The 18,625-nt window shown below is 46.2% G+C and overlaps 1 protein-coding gene and 1 long non-coding RNA gene across 2 annotated transcripts in view, besides 3 other annotated features; one reads left to right on the forward strand and one right to left on the reverse strand.

Annotated features, from left to right (window-relative positions):
• The window catches only part of KCNJ6-AS1 (KCNJ6 antisense RNA 1), a 222,067-nt gene that overhangs the window by 144,907 nt on the left and 58,535 nt on the right, over nt 1–18,625 (forward strand). The window lies entirely within an intron of this gene.
• Nucleotides 1–18,625, reverse strand: part of KCNJ6 (potassium inwardly rectifying channel subfamily J member 6) — a 309,085-nt gene that overhangs the window by 56,170 nt on the left and 234,290 nt on the right. The window lies entirely within an intron of this gene.
• Nucleotides 3,877–4,599: an enhancer, noted in NCBI's record as "H3K27ac-H3K4me1 hESC enhancer chr21:39039721-39040443 (GRCh37/hg19 assembly coordinates)". NCBI's record gives its function as "activates a minimal SCP1, AML or CMV promoter by ChIP-STARR-seq in primed H9 embryonic stem cells {active_cell/tissue: H9 hESC(primed)}" and the evidence as "EXISTENCE:reporter gene assay evidence [ECO:0000049][PMID:30033119]".
• Nucleotides 4,600–5,323: an enhancer, noted in NCBI's record as "OCT4-NANOG-H3K27ac-H3K4me1 hESC enhancer chr21:39040444-39041167 (GRCh37/hg19 assembly coordinates)". NCBI's record gives its function as "activates a minimal SCP1, AML or CMV promoter by ChIP-STARR-seq in primed H9 embryonic stem cells {active_cell/tissue: H9 hESC(primed)}" and the evidence as "EXISTENCE:reporter gene assay evidence [ECO:0000049][PMID:30033119]".
• Nucleotides 11,513–12,412: an enhancer, noted in NCBI's record as "H3K4me1 hESC enhancer chr21:39047357-39048256 (GRCh37/hg19 assembly coordinates)". NCBI's record gives its function as "activates a minimal SCP1, AML or CMV promoter by ChIP-STARR-seq in naive H9 embryonic stem cells {active_cell/tissue: H9 hESC(naive)}" and the evidence as "EXISTENCE:reporter gene assay evidence [ECO:0000049][PMID:30033119]".

Consider the following 18,625-nt stretch of genomic DNA (forward strand, 5'->3'; position numbering starts at 1 on the left):
TAATAGGAAGGGATATATCAAACAAATATTAATCAAAAAGAACAGTGGTATAGCTATACTAATATGGGACAACATGGATGAAGGCAAAAGGTATTGCAAGAGATGAAAGGGTCACCATAATGATGAAAGATTCTACTCACCAGGAGAAGAATACTGATTATATACATCTAATAATACAGTTTCACAGTAGAAAAAACCAAGAGTACAAGATGAAATGGACACAGTCACCATCATAATGACAGCTCTATCAGTAATTGAAAAATTAAATTAATAGACAAAAATCAGTAAGAATATACGCATACCTATGAAGAACACAATTAGCAAGCTTAGCCTCATGAACACATGACAAACACTGCATCCCACAGCTGGCCTTGCATTCTTTTTAAGCACCTACAGAACACTGGATATTTACCATGTACAACGTTAGCAAGTAAGTCTTTATAAGTCCCAAAGAAACTATCATTCAGTTCACATTATCCAATTATTATGAAATTAATTAAGAAGTCAGTAGCAAAGAAGACTAATAAAACACCATACTTTTGGAAATAAAATAAAGTTGAATCTAAATAATTTATCAGTTAATAATCCAACATCATAGGAATTAGCTCTTAGAATTGAACAATAGAATAAAAAACTACATATAAAAAGTTTTGGGGTAAAACTGACTCTTGGAAAATGAACCCTAAATTACATTAGAAAAAAAGAAGAAAGAAAAATAATGAGCGAAACACCCACTTTAAGAAATTAGAGAGAAAAAGTAACAGAATTCAGCCAGAGAAAAAGAAATAAAGAGACAATAAAGATGACAGCAGAAAGTAACCAAATAGAAAACAACTGTGCAATGGGAAGAATTAAAGTTGATTCTTTGGAGGTAAGTGAAATTGACCAATCCCTGATGAGATTAATACAGTAAAAAAATATATAATTTAAATACACAATATCTGAAATTAAAAAGTGTGCATAACAAAAGATGCAGTAAAAATATTTTAAGAAATATCATGAATTCATACCAGCAAATTGGAAACTTTATATGAAATAAACAAAGATCTAAAAAATATTACTTACAAAAACTGACTCAGTTACAAATAGAAAAACTTGAATAGTCCTATAACTATTAAAGAAATGAAATCAGTAGTTAAAAGAGTTCATAGAAAGAAAATGCTAGATGGTGTTTTACTCTGAGTTTTCCCAAACATTTAAGGAATAGATAATTCCAACGTTATGGAGATTGGAAAAAGAAAGAATATTCCTTTTTTTTTTTTTTTTTTTTTTGAGATGGAGTCTCGCTTTGTTGCCCAGGCTGAAGTGCAGTGGCGCAATCTTGGCTCACTGCAAGCTCTGCCTCCCGGTTCACACCATTCTCCTGCCTCAGCCTCCCGAGTAACTGGAACTACAGGTGCCTGCCACCGCGCCCGGCTAATTTTTTGTATTTTTTAGTAGAGACGGGGTTTCACCGTGTTAGCCAGGATGGTCTCGATCTCCTGACCTTGGGATCCGCCTGCCTCAGCCTCCCAAAGTGCTGGGATTACAGACATGAGCCACCACGCCTGGCAAGAATATTCCTTTTAAGCCTTGGTTTAGTCATTTGCCAAATGGGTCAACAATGGCACAAATCTCACTGGATCCCTGTGAAGATTAAAGCAGATAATGAATAGAAGTATCTTGCAGCAAGCAAGAGAAAGGTTCACTGGCACATAGGATGCATTAAATAAACAGTAACTATTATTATCATTATTTATGATTATTGATGGTTCCCAAGAGAGCCTCCCTGGCAAGGCAGGCCATGGTGCCAGTCGTCTGTATAAGTCCATGCGATCATTGAAAGCATTATTTCTCCAGGAATGAGGTAGTCATTGTTCTCTGGTTTTACAATAAACATTTAGCAATTGGCAGGATGTGGACGAACCTCATGGGAATCGGAAGTAGCTCTGAATTGTAAAGAGAAACAGCCAGATCAGATAGGAAAGTAATTTTTAATTACTCCGCTGAATTTCTAGCAGGGAGATTGCAACCTTGGTGAGTGAGTCTCCATGCTGGTATGAGGTAGAGCTGGATTTGGACAGCTCAATGCAGGTGTGCCAACCTTTCCTTCCTCTCTCAGTGGACAAGGAAGGGAGGAACAAGACTAAAATACAGTTTTAGGTCGACCAAGTGTCTGCTCGCTGACATCATTCATCCCTCCCTCAAGTATCACAGACAATTTTTGTAGCCGAGCGTTGCTGCTGTTTAGTAATTCAAAGTGTATCTGAGAAACACAATTATCTCGACAGAGAGTTGGACAGCAGCTGAGGGTGATGTGTGAGCTGGTGCCAGAGGTTTGCTTGTTTAGTTACTCCAAGCAGGGAGTTGTCATAAGGCTTCCTGGAGGAGTGGAGCTGGGGGCAGAGAGTGGCCTCTCACTGGATGCAGGTAGAAAAAGGAGCCAGAAATGAGCAGGCCCAGCTAGTTGCTGGATTGGCTAGTTGCTACCATGATGTCATTTCATACCCACAGCCACCCTGAAACCTGAAAGCAAGGTTTTATCACTTCCCATGTTGCAGGTTAGAAGACATGGCTTGCACAGGTGGAGTGATCCTTCCCAAACCACAGAAGCGGGAGTGAAGGGATCCTATCCTTGGGCAGAGGCTCAGAGGGGAGAAGATGGGTACACAGGCAGAGATCTGGGAATGGCAAGGTCAGCTTCTAGTGGCCCAAGAACCCCTAGTTCTGGCTTCCTGTTGAGTAGGACCAAGTCCTCACTCCCCTTCCCCTGGGATTCCTCAGGCTGACCTGAGGCTGAGCTGACTCTCACGGTTTGGACTGGGTGACTTGGCTCAGGGGCTCCTGTGGGATGAGCACCATGAGCTGCTCCGAGGTGCCAGGACATCCAACCCCAACCCTTGCTGGCTGTGCTGTCTCAGCAAGTCACCTTGCCTCTCTGAGATGCAATTTCCCAATCTGTAAAATGGGGATACAATGCTAGTACATCGTTCATTGTTTTCCCTTTAAAAATTAAATGAGGTACCCGGCCGCCACCCCGTCTGGGAAGTGAGGAGTGCCTCTGCCTGGCCACTGTGCAATCTTCCAAGTGTAAAGTGACAGCCTTTCTGCAGGTGTACCCAACAGCTCTGAAGAGACAGTGACCATCGAGAACGGGCCATGATGACGATGGCAGTTTTGTCGAAAAGAAAGGGGAAATGTGGGGAAAAGAAAGAGAGATCAGATTGTTACTGTGTCTGTGTAGAAAGAAGTAGACATAGGAGACTCCATTTTGTTCTGTACTAAGAAAAATTCTTCTGCCTTGGGATGCTGTTAATCTATAACCTTACCCCCAACCCCGTGCTCTCTGAAACATGTGCTGTGTCAACTCAGGGTTAAATGGATTAAGGGCGGTGCAAGATGTGCTTTGTTAAACAGATGCTTGAAGGCAGCATACTCGTTAAGAGTCATCACCACTCCCTAATCTCAAGTACCCAGGGACACAAACACTGTGGAAGGCCGCAGGGACCACTGGCTAGGAAAACCGGAGACCTTTGTTCACCTGTTTATCTGCTGACCTTCTCTCCACTATTATCCTATGACCCTGCCACATCCCCCTCTCCGAGAAACACCCAAGAATGAGCAATAAATACTAAAAAAAAAAAAAAAAAAAAAAAAAAAAAATTAAATGAGGCAACGCAGGCAAAGTGTCCAGACCCAAACTGGATATGTAACAAGGGCCGATGAGTGTGAGTTCCTTTTGTTCCCTCTTCATATATCCAGGCCAGGGTTCCACATTTTGAATTGGAGAATTCTCTACTGTGGGGGGCGTTTAGCAACACCTTTCCCTCATCACATAGGACCTCTTGTAACAAGCCCATCCTGTCTGGACCAGGGGGATTCAGCTAAGCCTAGGGTCAGTCCAAATAATTCCAGGACTTGGAATGACTCAATAGGACATCAGGGGTAGTAGGCGCCGGGGTAGCGGGAGCTGGGGTAGAGGACGCTGGGGTAGTGGGCGCCGGGGTAGCGGGGTCCGGGGTAGCGGGCGCCGGGGTAGCAGGCTCCAGGGTAGTGGGTGCTGGGGTAGCAGGAGCCAGGGTAGCGGGGTCTGGGGTAGCAGGCACCGGGGTAGCAGGTCCAGGGTAGCAGGCGCCGGGTAGCAGGTCCGGGGTAGCGGGCTCCGGGGTCGGCACTGCAGGGTGTTTAGCAGCATTCTCTGCCTCTGATCACAGGGTGCCAGTAGCAGAGTCCTCTCACCCCATTGTGACATCCAAAATGCCTCCATATATTGCCCTCTGTCTCCCGGGGGACAAAACTTGCCCTTGACTGAGAACCACTGTCCTAGGTCCATCTCGTGCAGTTGGGCCAGAGCCTACCTCGACTCTGGGCACAGAGAAGCAAGTGCCACTCCTGGAGTGGTGTCCTCCTCCAGGAGGCATGCCAGAGCTCCTTGGAGCTTCTTAAAAGCGCAGGGGCCTGGGCTTTACTCCACAATTCTGATGTCATTGGATGCAGTGGACATTTGCTGAAAGCTCACGCCATGGTCTGATCAGTGGGCGCAGCTGAGAACCACTGGTGCCTGGCTCCCTTGGGGACGGAGCCCACAGCCCCAGGGCCTCAGCTCGGGTGTGTGGGGCAGTTCTGTGCATGCTGAAAGCATACCCCCTCCAGTGCTTGATGGGGGCTTCTCTGGTCTTCTGCCTCAGAGCCCTCTCCAAAACCCATAGAGGCCTTCAGACCCATGTTCAGCCCCACGTGAGGAGTTGGAGGAGTGCTAGTGCCCCAGGGGTAATGGGAGCCTGTAGGAGCTCCCCAGAACTGCCTCAAGGGAAACCACAGATGGCGCCTTAAATAACACAGTTCTCTCTCCTTGGCTTACAGATGCCCTCTCCTCCCTGGGTCCTCACAGGGTCACCCCTCTGTGTGTGTCTGTGTCTGTGTCCTAATCTCCTATTCTTATAAGGACACCAGTTAGGTTGGATGAGGGCCCACCCTAATGGCCTCGTTTACCTTAATCACTTCTTTAAAGGCCCTACCTCCAAATACAGCCACATGCTGAGGTATGGGGGGTTAGGACTTCAACATAGGCAGATTGGGAGATACACCTCGGCCCACAGCAGCATCCGGAGGCCTGTGTCTTCCTGTCTGAGCCTGGGTGTGGATGCCGCACCCGTGCTGGTTGGAGGAAGCTGGCCTGCACGGCCTCTGAGCTTCTCCACTTTCTTACTCATCTGAACTTTGGGGCACTCCAATTCTGCTGAGGAAGGAGAAGGATCCTTTTTGCAAATTATATACTGACTCTAGTATAACATCACATGACAGGTAAAGGAGGATATCAAAATATTTTATCCCAAAATAGGTTTCTTTGCTATACTTTGAAATGGTGCTGCAAAGCTGGCTTTCGTGATGCAAAATTTGCATCTGTAAGGAATCTCTAATAATATAACTAGGTATTTCCCCTTCCAGGCCCTCCCAATCCAGAAGAGATTAGCACCTTTAAAAGATCTAAATAGGAAACATTGCCATCTATTGTCTCAAAGGGCAGCTACCTATGAGACTTCATCTACATAACAAGAACCCTGGTCTCCACAACCCCTTATCTTAACCCAAACACTCCTTTCTATTGATTCTAGGTCTTTAGATAATAACTTAACTCTTCAACCAATTGCCAATCAGAAAATCTTTGAATCCACCTATGACCTGTAAGGCACCCCCCCACCTTCCAGTTGTCCTGCCTTTCCAGAACTAAACAATTTATACCTCACATGTATTGATTGAGGTCTTATGTCTCCCTAAAACGTATATGACCAAGCCGTAACCCAGTCACCTTGGGCACATGTTCTCCGGACTTCTTGAGACTGTGCTTTGGGCCCTGGTCATTCATATTTGGCTCAGAATAAACCTCTTTAAGTAGTTTACAGAGTTTGCCTTTTTTTGCTGACATACTACAAATTCAAAGCTCAATGAAAACAAAACAGGGAAGCCTCAAAGAAATCTCTGCTTGATGCCAATCAGTTCTTTGTATCTTTAGGGAGATGGTAGGTGGTGTTGGGGAGCATGAAGTCTGTGTGTGTTGTGTGTGTGTGTGTGTGTGTGTGTGAATGTGCATATGCATCTCTGCTATAATGCAGGGATAAAAACAACAATGCTTTGGACATTTTCATGATGCTGAATCTACTGTTTGGAGCTTACAATAAGGAAATATGCAGAGACTCTGAAATGTCTTCACAGAATTGTAGCTGGAATAACATGGTTAAGATGGATATTCAAAATATTTGAAAATAATTTGAAAATATTTTCTCCCATTCTGTATGTTGTCTTTCACTTTCATGATAATGTATTTCAATGCATACAAGTTTTTTATTTTGATGAAGTTATATTTATATTTTTCTTTTGTTGCCTGTACTTGTGGTGTCACAGCTAAGAATCCATTGATGAATCCGAAGTCATGAAGATTTACCCCTGTGTTTTCTTCTAAAGAGTCTTACAGCTTTTGCTCCTCTATTTAGGTCTTGATGCATTTTGAGTTTATTTTTGCAAATGTATGAGGTAGAGTTTCAACTAATTCTTTTGCATGTATATATCTAGTTGTCCCAGCACCATTTGTTGAAAAGAGGATTCTTTCCCATTAAATGATCTTAGTGTCCTCATGAAAGTCAATTATTCTAAGGTGTGCAGGTTTATTTCTGGACTCTAAATTCTATTCCACTGGTTTAGATGTCCATCCTTATGCCTTATATTCAGTCACTGCTTTAATTACTATAGTTTTATAGTAAGTTTTGAAATGAGGAAGTGTGAATCTTCTAATTTTGTTCTTTTTCAGCATTGTTTTGGCCATTTGGGGACCCTTGCATTTCCATATGAACTTGAGGATTGGGCTTTTTAGTTCTGCAAAATGGCCATTGGAATTTTGGCAGGGATAACATTAAATCTGCAGATCACTTTGGGTAGTACTGCCATCTTAATAATATTAAGCCTGGGCTGAGTGCAGTGGCTCACACCTGTAATCTCAGCACTTTGGGAGGCTGAGGTGTGCAGATAACTTGAGCTCAGGAGTTTGAAACCAGCCGGGGCAACGTGGTGAAACCATGTCTCTCCTAAAAATACAAAAGTTAGCTGGGCATGGTGGTGCATGCTTGTAGTCCCAGCTACTTGGAGGGCTGAGGTGGGAGAATTACTTGAGCCTGGGAGGCAGAGGCTGCAGTCACCCAAGATCGTGCCACTGCACTCCAGCCTGGGTGACAGAATAAGACCCTGTCTCAAAAAGACAAAACAAAACAAAGCAAAAATAATATTAAGCCCTCCAACCTATAAGCACAGGATGTTATTCCATTTATTTAGATATTCTTTCATTTCTTTCAGCAGGACCTTATGATTTTCAGTATATGAGTTTTCACTTCCTTGGTTTGAACTTAGGTATTTTATTTCATTTTTTGGATGCTATTGTCAATGGGCCTGTTTTCTTAATTTCCTTTTTGAATTGTCCATTGCTAGTGTATTGTGATATTGTGAAATATATATTTGGCCTTTATCCCATTTCCTGATACATAGCTCCTAAAACCACTAGAATCTCTGGAGTGTTAAGAATGTCTTTTGTTTGCTACTGAGATGACTGGCAGCTGCAGACCTCTAGATAGCTTCCGGGTGGGGGCTGGCCACCTGAAAGACCATGGCATGATTAGAAGGTTGAGACTTTCGGTCCCACCCCCAACCTCCAGGGAAGGGAAGGGGGTTGAAGGTTCAGTTGATCACCAATGGCCAATGATATCATTACTCATGCCTACATAATGAAGCTTCCATAGAAAAGCAAAAGGACTGAGTTCTGGGGGCTTCTGGAAAGCTGAACACATGGATGTTCCTGGAAGGGGTTAACCCAGGGAGGGCGTGCCCCTCTTCTTGCCTCTTCTCCCACACTTTGCCCTGTACCCTTCTTCCTTCTGGCTGCTCATCTGTACCCTTAATTATATCCTTTATAATAAATGGGTAGGTGTAAGTAGAGTGGTTCCCTGAGTTCTGTGAACTGCTTTCGCAAATTAATTGAATCCCAGGATGGGGTTGCGGGAACTCCCAATTTACAGCCAGTTGGTCAGAAGCACAGGCCACAACCTGTGCTTGCGACTGGCATCTGCCGGGGTGGGGCAGGCTTGTGGGGCTGAGCCCTCACCCTGTGGGATCTGACACTGCCTGCAGGTAGACAGTGTCAGAGCTGAACTGAATTAGGGAACACACAGGGGTGTCCACTGGAGAATGACCTGCAGCACTGGTTGTTGTTGGAGAAACCCCAACAGCCCTCTGGAGTCATGGAAGTGTTATCTGTTGTAAGAGTATAGTACGAGATGCGGAGTTTGTTTCTTCCTAGGTCCTTATGTATAGAAATTCAACATTTTTTTTTGTGTTGATCTTGTACTCTACAACTTTTCTGAATTTGTTTATTGGCTCTCGTAGTATTTTTGTGGATTCTTTGGGGTTTTCTCTGTATAAGATCATGTTATCTTTGAATAGAACTAGTTTTACTTCTTTCCAATTGGAATACTTTCTGTTTCTTTTTTTTACTTAATTGCTCTGGAGGGAATTGTGTCTTGACCCATTCTCTACCTGTAGTCTAGGAGGGATTGACCCCATCTCTTAAGGGTGATCCCTGCTTGGCTTAAGCAAGTCCATAGAGCTCATCTGCTTGTCCCCAGTGATTGGGTCGGAAATGGCATATGACCTCCTTAAGGACAATGAGATGCAAAGAAATATAGCTTTAGCTTCTAGGAAGGAAGCTTCTCTTTTCTGTGGAAGCTTCTGGAAGAGATCCTGACTCTTCTGCTTGTGAGAAGTTGGGGCCTGAAATGTGGTGGACACTTCTGCTACCATGAAAGAAGTAGTCTAAGGATGACGGTGATGCAGAAGGAAGGGAAAGCAGGAGACCTGGAGAAAAGGAGCTGGGTCTGGGGGTCATCTCAGCGCCTAGGAACCGGCAGCATCGGAAGTCCTCTCCCCCTGGGTTTTTGGTTGTATGAGCTAAGACATCCTCAATTTTTTTTTCTTTTTTCATAAGTCAGTTTGGGTTCTCTGACATCTCTTTTTACTTGAAAATGTTAAAGTTCAAGATACATGGTATATCCTTAGCTTAGTATAAACTTATCAGCTATGGTTGTTTCACTTGGACTTTTTACCTAATCAAAAAGGAAATAAAGATGTAATACACATGTAAGGAGATGGTAGGTTTTTCTCTCTTTCTCTTTTTCTCCCTTCCCCTTCCCTTCCCTTCCTTTCTCTTTCTTTCTTCTCTCTCTCTCTGTTTTCTTGAGATAGGATCTGGCTATGTGGCTAAGGTGGGAGTGCAGTGGTACCATCACAGCTTACTGCAGCCTCGAACTCCTGGGCTAAAGTGGTCCTCCTGTCTCAGCCTCCCAAGTAGCTGGGACTACAGGTGCATGCTGCTGTGCCCTGTTAATTATTTTATTTTTTGTAGAGACAGAGTCTTGCTACATTGTCCAGGCCAGATTTTTCTTTTAAGTGTGGTAAATGCTATAAAAGTCTCCTTTTTACATTATTCTCAAAACGTTTTTAATGAGCAATAATATTCATTATTGAATGCAAAATGAGAGAGAGAAAACAAAGGAGGAGAAGAAGAATTGAGAGGAGACGGGGACAGGTAAGACAGCATGAGGGAAAGAGGAGTGGTGGAAATGGAGCAGAGGCTGGAGGAAGAGGGTTGGGACCTGAACCATCTCTAGGGCTATGGCCGATAGGCCCAGGGGCAGCCTGCTGGAGCTAGGGAAGTGGGTGGTTGTCCATCAGCTTTCCTGGGTGGTCCCATTACTGGGAGGCTTCCATCTCCAGCTGGACTGTCCTGCAGCTTCCTTTGGCTGGGCTGCCCCTGTCCCCTCCCCCTCTTCCAGTCCTGTTTCTTTCCAGGAGCCGGCTCCTTGGAGCTCATCCATCCTCCTTCCTGGGGCTCCAGGCTTCCTTTTCTCAGGGATAGGATTTGTCTCTCAGCTTCAGAAATGAGGGTGCATCTCAGAGCAGCACTTTTCCTGGCCCAGTGGCTGGGCTCACTTGTGTCTGTGTTGTGTCCAACTCACTCATCACACACCTGTTGTGGATAGGACACAACACAGGGACACAGGGATGAGACAGAAATGAGGACACAGGCACTGACATGCATAACCAGCAGACAGATGGGTATGTTTAATTTTAGAGGTGTGTTCAGAGTTAGAGGGGGACAGGGAAGGGAGGGATTCTCTAGGCAGGACTGAAGCAGGGAAGTCTTTACAAAAGATGTGCTGGGCTTTGAAGGATGAGTAGGAGTTGATCAGGCAAACCAGTGGAGGAAAGAAGGGGAAGGGGCTCTCATTGGGGCTCATCCTGGCTGCACATCGGAGACACCTGGAGGAGCCTTGGGAGAGAAGATGGCCAAAGAGCAGGGAGAGCTGATGCTGTTCCCTCAGGGTTTACCTGTTTGCTTCCATGCTGTGACTTTGAGCCCTGTGATTTCCCTTAGTGATGACAGCATATCCCAACCATGTGAAGTCTAACTGCCCTCTAGCCAGTGTAAACAGGCTATTCTGGAGTGTGGGGCCAGGGGAGAACCTTCAGATCCCTGAAATATGCCCCAGATATGGTTTGCGGAACTCAACGGCATCTTTTTCACCTTCAACCCAACCTGTCCCCAATGTCAGCTCTCAGCTGAGTTACTGCAGCAAACCTTTCCCCAGTTACTGGCTGCTATCTGCACATTGTGTGACCAACTAATCTCTGTTTGCCTGGGACTTACCCACATTTAGCATTGAATGTCCCACATCCCGGAAATCCCTCAGTCCCAAGCAAATGAGGACAGTTGGTCATCTACAGCTCACACGCCAACCACAGCCATCCTTTCAAAATGCATGTAATGTCATGCCACTCTTTGCTCGACACCCTCCAGGGCTCCCCTCTCAGAGCAAAAGCCACACAAAGCTCTCCCTGGCCTGGTGCCTGTGACCTCACTCGCCTCCTCTCTGCCCACTCCCCTCCTCACCCACTGGCTCCGCCGAGTCAGGCCTCCTTGATGCTTCTCCAAGCTTCCTTTCACCACAGGGCCTTTGCATGCAGGTCCTCTCTGCTTGGAACACTCTCTCCCTGATACCCACAGGGCTCACACCTCCTCTCACCCAGGATGGATCTAGTATTAGCTCTGCAGGGACAGCTTCCCTGACTCCCCTATACCTCACGTACTTCACCCCCTCCAGAGCCGTGATTCCTTTCCTTTCTGCACGTCTCACTCCGACAGGCTTACTTTCTGGTTTAGTCTTTCTCTGCTCACTTGGATGTAAGCTTGGTTTACTCATGCTGTGTCCTGACTACCTAGAACACTGCAGAGCGCATAGCATGAGGGCAATAAACGACGAATGAATAAATGAATGAATGAATAATGAATGAATGATTGAATGAAAGAAATCTGGACAACTTACTCACTTAGGGTGGCTAAGGAGAGGTAAGGGCTGCTTTTCCCAGACAGCCCACCCTGCACTGCCCCTGTCCCCAAGCCTTCCAGGTGGACTCATGCAGTCCTGCTCGGAGCTCCTCTGCTGCTCCGGGTTTGACTCAATCGACACCCTTCGCACCACTTTCTAAGTGTCTCCTTTGGACTGGGCCCTTGAGCCATGAGCTTTCTTTTATTTAATGTGATATTCCCAGCGTCTGGCAATGTAGCAGGGGCTCCGTTTTGAACTACTGGCCTGTGCAAAACCAAAAGTCTTTCCTTTAAGGATCTGGAGTTAATATGATGGCTGCGTCTCAGAGATGTAAAGGCCACACAGATGAGACCTCAGAGAGGAAGGAATCAAGTTGGCGGGGATTTTTCCGCGAGTGGCTGCATTGGCTTTAAGAAACTGCGCCGGGCTGGGCAGCCGACGCACCGCTAGGTGGCGCACGCGCTCGCTGCGTCTTTCAGGGCTGCAGGTACGGTGCGGGTTTCTGGTGCGCTGACCGCGCTGGGGATGAGCACCACTGTCATCGCGGGGACCCTCGGGCTGCGCCTCTGCCCCTCGGTCCCCAGCACCCCTGGGAGGAGCTGCTGCGATGACACCCAGTCCCTGGGCGCCGCCGCATCGCCCTGCCCTGAGCGGAATTCTCCGGCCCCAGGAGAGGCCGTGTGGCCATAAAAGGGCTGACCTCCTGATTCGGACTCCGCAGGTAGTCACTAGGGGCTTTCGCTGCTCCTGGAAGCAATTTCAAACCAGCAAGCAGGCTCTTATAGACTCTTACACCAAAAGAAGAATTTGGAGGTCCACCCCTAAACAGTCCATCACTGTTACATTGACTCCCAAATTCCTATGCTAGAGTTACCTTAACGGCAAGCCAGACCCCTGACCCCAACCCATGTCAATAGCGGGGGTGGGGGTGGGGGTGGGGGTGGGGTGCGCCGACCCTGCTGCGCTTGTCAGCTTCTCTAACTGTGGCTTGGCTCCTCTGTCCTCATGTGAGCTCTGGACCAGCAATACCTGCACCCTTGCCAGCAGGTTGCAAATGCAGAACCCAGACCTCCTGAATCTGAGCCTGCATTTTAACAGGGTCCGTGGGAGATTCGTGGGCACCACAGAACTGCAGGAGTGCTGGCGGAGGGCAGGGCTGAGTGCGGAAAGGGAGATGGGCAGGCCCATGGCGTGGGGACTGACCTTTGGCACAGGGCACGTCTGAGTGCAGAAAGGGAGGTGGCAAGTCTGTGGCTTGGGGACTGACCTTTGGGTCAGCGGTGGAGAGGAAGGGTACAGGGGTCCTTTCTCCAGGAGGTGGTCCTGGCATGGGCCAGGTGTGAGTCCCGTGACCTCCAGAAGCACATGGTAGGACAGGCCGGGCAGGCCAGGTAGGCCCTAAGCTCCATCTATTAGTGCAGGAGGGAGGCCCTGCACTTTGCTCACCACTGAACTCTGCCGCCAGCCAACACCAGGCACCTGATGGATCTATGTTGGGTGAAGCAATGAAGTGGACAGCCCAGTGCCTTGTGGAAGGGACACCAGGGAGTGCTGAGGCCTGTGGGTGGGCGTATGAGGTGCAGGGCAGCTGGCATTGGCCTGGGGGCTGTGCTCAAAGACAAACTCCATCCACTTCTGGCTGTGCACAGGGCCAGCTTGGGGAGGTAGCAAGTGGATGAGCAAAACCAGGGGAAAGCAAGGCACCAGCCAGAGCTGTGTTCTCAGCAGGGTTGTGTTGGCCCAAGTGGGGACAGCAGCCATGTCTGGAGACATTTTTGATTGTCAAACTGGAGGGGGTGCTACTGGCACTTAGAGGTAGAGGCCAGGAATGCTGCACACAGCTTGCAAGGCGCAGGATGGCCCCTGCAACAGAGAGTGACCTGGCTCCAAATGCCAATAGTGCTGAGGTTGAGGAACCACGAGAGAAAGCAGCAGGCTCTGCAGGCACTGGTGGAGATTTCTAGTGCCAATAGCTCTATGTCCCCTTCCCCACCTCCACCAGTCCCCATTGGGACCTGAGACCTTATTAGGAGTGACTACAGTGCTGGTCCCAGTTGACTAGGAAGAGGGCTCCTGGTCAGGCTGACGTTGCACTCAGGAGTCTAACTGTCCAGTGGCAGAAATCGATAATTGGTTCCAGTTCCTCTCCCCAGGTGCCACGATGCTGGCAGTGCCCACCACTCTGCTGGCCTTGGACTGCAGGACTGGTCCCTCCTGTGGCTTGAGACAAGCTCCAGCTAGTCTGCTGCAGTGTGACAGCCTGGGGATGGGGAGGGAGAGGACTCCGGTACACAGCCTGGGAGATGGCTTTTCCATGGCAACAGCTCAGTTCCTGGTAGGCAGCCCTCACCTGCTCTGATCCTGCCACATATGTGCAGCTCCCTGTGTTCCATCCAGAGATCAACTTGGCCAAAAGAATTTATTTTCAGTTTTTTGGGGAAAACCAATAAAAACACCTCCAAATAGCCCTGCTTTGCCAGGAGTACCAAATCCTTGGGTTTGCAGAAATACTAACGAGTGCTTTTATTTGACCTTTCCTTTCTTCTCCTTTCCCTTTCTTTCTTCTTCCTCCCTTTTTGTTGTTGTTTGTATTTGAAATTTATGCTTTATGTTTCATATGAGTTCATCATGATGGGGCTGTTTTCCATAACATTTTTCTTTAGCAAATTTCTTCAAAGTATGTGTTAAAATTATTTTTGTTTGACTATTGCATAAGCTCCAAGAGATCAGAAACTGTTTCTCTCCATCCATTTATCCATTCATTCAATCCATCCATCCATCCACTTCCTCACCCATATACCCACCCACACACCAAACCATTTGTCCATCCATCCATCCATCCACCCACCTATCCACCCACCCATCCAGTCATTTCAGTCATCCATCAGTTCACTCATTCACCCATTCATCAACCCATTCATCAACACACCCTTCTGTTCACTCATTCATACAGCCAGCCAACAATCCATTCATCCATCCATTAATTCATTCATTGGCAAAGGCAAGCATTTGGAATTGCTGCTCTTTGCCTAGCCCTACAAAAGTTCTTACTGTCACAGAGATATTTCTCTAGTGGAAGGCTAGAAATTCACAAAACAAAGTGTTAAATGCATTTGAGTGTTATGCACAAAGGCCCTATGGGGCCAAACAGAAGCCGGCTAACTTGGCGGGTGGTGGTGTCAGAGAAGATTTCAAAGAGGATGGGACCTATTAGGAGAGCCTTGAAGGATAAATGCAGGGCAGTGGGGTCAGTAATTATCTAGAAGCGACAGCTAGTGAGTGATTCGTTGGGCTGCTGAAGTGAAGATGGGGACATGAGATGATACTGGTCAGGTAAGGTAGCATTGTAAAAGGACTTCAATGATGTCCAAGGAATTTGCATGTTATCCTGTAATCCTGTAGACAATAGGAGTTATCCATGAATGTTATGGTCGGTGCTGTTTTAGAGAGAAACTTCTGGGATTGTATAGAGAGGTGGGGATGCTCTCCTAAGTGTCTTAACTGATTGGTTTGAAAACTCTTTTCTGGGGTCATAGGCTTCTTGCATAATTCCCAGAAATACCCAGAAAGCCTCCATGATAGGCAGTGGTGCCTGGACCTGCAGCTCTGAGGGAAGGAGCCTGGAGGAGAGGACTACCTGCACTGAGCAATAACCCATTGATGAATGGATTGATGAATGTATGGGTGGGTGGATGGATGGATGACTGGATGGGTGGACAGATGGATGAATGGACAGGTAGATGAATGAATGGATAGATGGGTGGATAAATAAATAGAAAAGACTACAGAGCTTTGTACATGTGGCTGAGAGACCCACGTAAACTCAGGGAGCACCTACTGTAGTGGTGAAGCATGTAGCTGTTGGAGCCAGTCTGAGGGGGCCAAATCCCAGCTCTACTGCTTACATGGTTTAAAACACAGGCACAAAATATTTGATGCTCCCTCTTCAAGAGATGGAGCCTACGTTCCTTCCCCTTACATGTTGGCTGGATTTAGTAACTCATTTCTGTTAAATAAAGTGGAAGTGATGGTGTGTAACTTTAGAGACTAAGTCTAAAGGGTGCTGTGGGTTTTCTCTTTCTCTCTGGAATTGTTTGCTTTGGGGAAAATTAGCTATCATGTTGTGAGGACACCAAGCAACTTATAGAGATGTCCACGTAGCAAGGAACTGAGGCCTCCTGTCAACAGCCATATTAGTGTATCATCTTGGAAGTGGATCCTCCAGCCCCAGTCAAGCCTTCAGATGACTGCAGCCCCAGCCAACATCTTGATTGCAACCTCATAAGTACTCAGCTAAGTAGCTCCTGAATTCTAGATCTACAGAAGCTGTGAGACAATAAGTGTTGGTTGTTTTCAGCCACTAAGTTTTGGGGTAAATTGTACAGCAAGAGATAACTAATACAAAAGCTATGTGCCCTTGGACAAGTTAATTCACTCTCCTGTGCCTCTGTTTCCTTACTCATATAATTAGGGTGGTAATAACAGAATCTACATTATAGAGGAGCAGTAAGGATTTTGTGAGTTAATACGTGTGAAACACTTAGAACAGGGCTGGCATGCAGTAAATACTCAATGAATGTTAGTTATAACTACTGTTATTGATAATTGCATGATCTCAGGCAAACACAGAAAGAACAGGGAAGAAATAGAGTGCTTGCTGAATGAAGGAAAGGTGGAAATCAACACTAGTCTTAACCATTTGTCATGTACTGTCAATCCAAGCTCAGCCCAAGGGTTAGTGTGTTCATTGGCCAGTGGAAGTTTGACTGACCTTCACCGAGGGGGCCTTCTGTATGGTAGGGATTACACTCAGCCTGGCACTCTGTTTATCTCTCTAAATCCTCAGGGCCACCTTTTGTATGAATTGGTGTATCACATACTGTCGCCTTTCTAGACATGGTTGGAAAAATCTTCAACATTAACCTGGAAGAGCTTTACCAAACATCTTCGTTATTCATTTTTGAAACAACTGAGAGTATCCATGGTCACTGGTGCTCAGGGATTCCCTATGTCAGCAGAAGGGCTGGATACCATTGTGACCATTTTAATTAAAATTCTTATTTGACAAGAGCCAGATATTTGTATGTATATCAATGGCATAGAGCAAATCATGCCTTTTTTCCTGTCTCTCTGATACAAAAGTGAGATTTATAGATCCCACTCATTCTCTCTCAACTGGTTTCCTCTACTGGCTAGGAGTATATATGAACAACAGCTTGTTTTCAACTATATTATTTACTCATTTTTTACCTTTTGGAGTGAAAAAAGGTTGTAAAGTTCCATCTCAGTGCAGAAATTCCTGAGGAAGAAAGCCCTCTCGAGACAATTCAGAGTGAAATGTTGGGCAAGACCCAGCATTATGTTTCTCCCCCAGCCCTCCCTGAGACTGAGCCAGTATCCAAGGATCTTCACTCCTCGAGCTCACAGAACAGTTGACCAACGAACTCTCGGCTGCACGTGGCTGCTGTCAAATTCCTGGGTATCCAGACTATGACGGTTAATTTTATATATCAACTCGACTGGGCATGGGGCACCCAGATATTTGGTTAAACAACCTTCTAGATACTTCCGTGAGAGTGGTTCTGGATGAGATTAGCATTTGAATCAATAGACTGAATAAAACTGATTGCCCTTATTCAATCTGCTGAAGCCCTGAACAGAACAAAAAGGCAAAGTAAAAGAGAATCTGCTCCCTTTGCCTGACTGTACTACAGCTGGGACACTGGTCTTCTCTTCCTTTTGGACTTGGACTTGGACTAGGACTACATCATTAGCTTTCCTGGGTCTCCAGGAAACTGCAGGTCTTGGGAATTCTGAGCCTCCATAACTGTGTGAGCCAATGCTTGTAATAAATCATGTATATTTGTATCTGCATAGACAGATGTATATCTCTCTCTTTCTATCTCTTCATCCATCCTATTGATTATATTTCTCTGGAGAACCCAGACTACATACACACTGTATAGAATGCAGCCACCATCACTGTGACACCCTCCTGGCGCTTCTTTAACCCATGAACCCAGTATCTAGCTGCTCGCCAGGACAGTCCATTCTCCCAAGGGACAGCGCTCAGTAGCTCTGCAGAGGTTCCCATCAAGGACACTGGGCCTGAGGATCATGTTGGTTGTGAATGTCGCTATTATCTCTAGAACTGAATGGAAGATTTCTAACTAATCTCAAGGAACCTGTCCATTAGATGTCAAAGAATAAAAAAGGTTCGGTTCTCACGACCCTAGTCAGAAATAACAATGCCAAGGTGTAGGGTTCCTCTTTTCTCTCTAATTCTCTTCAGGGGCTGAGAATTCTTGTGTGTTGCCTTACTTGGCATTTGCCAATTGATGCTGACAACTTGAAACTCTCAAATTAGGGGAGGAATTCCCAAGGTGTAGGCAGGGATAATGAAAGATGATCTAGAAATAGTCGTGGTAATCTGATAACTTGCCAAGTTCCTCTGATGTGCTCTTCTCTTTTTCTTCTCTGGACAGCTCTTATGTTGGTTTTGGTCTAAAAGAAGAGTGACAGTTGCCTGTTGGGGAATTTAACACTGGCTCTCACATTGTCCTGGGCTGAACATAAACCTGTAATTTGATGAAGTGCTTCTGACAGGTGTATGCACATGCTTGTTGGTTTCACTCGGATCTGTCTTGAGGGAGTTGCTTCTTAGAAATTTCTGTACTGAGTCAGATTCTTCATAACTTTTCTTTCACGCTAAAAGGTAAAACATGAGTGACTTTAAAAATCTTTCTATTCATTCAACCTTTTGTCGCTGAGTACACATGTGGCTGGTGAAATTTGCTAGTGACTCAACCAGAAAGAGAGCGGGAGAGAGGACGAAGAGAGGAGTAGAGGGAGCGACCCAAATCACATTTTCTAGAAGGTCATACCTCTGAGTAGTAACCTTGGTTCAGTGAGACCACTCACCCATGGAGCTCCTGTGTAATTTGAGGTCAGGGTGTGTGATGCTGGTCTCAGTTGGTTGCTGAATGGGATGAACACCAGCTGCCCTATTTCTTCATTAAGGGGAAAGAAGTCTGTCTTGTGCATACACTGGGGACTGGCCTTGGCCCATCACATTACTGTCCTGTTGCTTCTTTCATTCCACAAATGTTATTTGTTCAGGTGGTCACCAGGTAGACAATAGAAGGGGAGGGGTGGCTCGCAAGGATGGTGGATTAGTTTCCTGCAGCCGCAGTAACAAATTACCACAAACTTGGAGGCTT

Source organism: Homo sapiens, chromosome 21 (genome assembly GCF_000001405.40).
Source record: "Homo sapiens chromosome 21, GRCh38.p14 Primary Assembly".
Taxonomy (NCBI): Eukaryota; Metazoa; Chordata; class Mammalia; order Primates; family Hominidae; genus Homo; species Homo sapiens.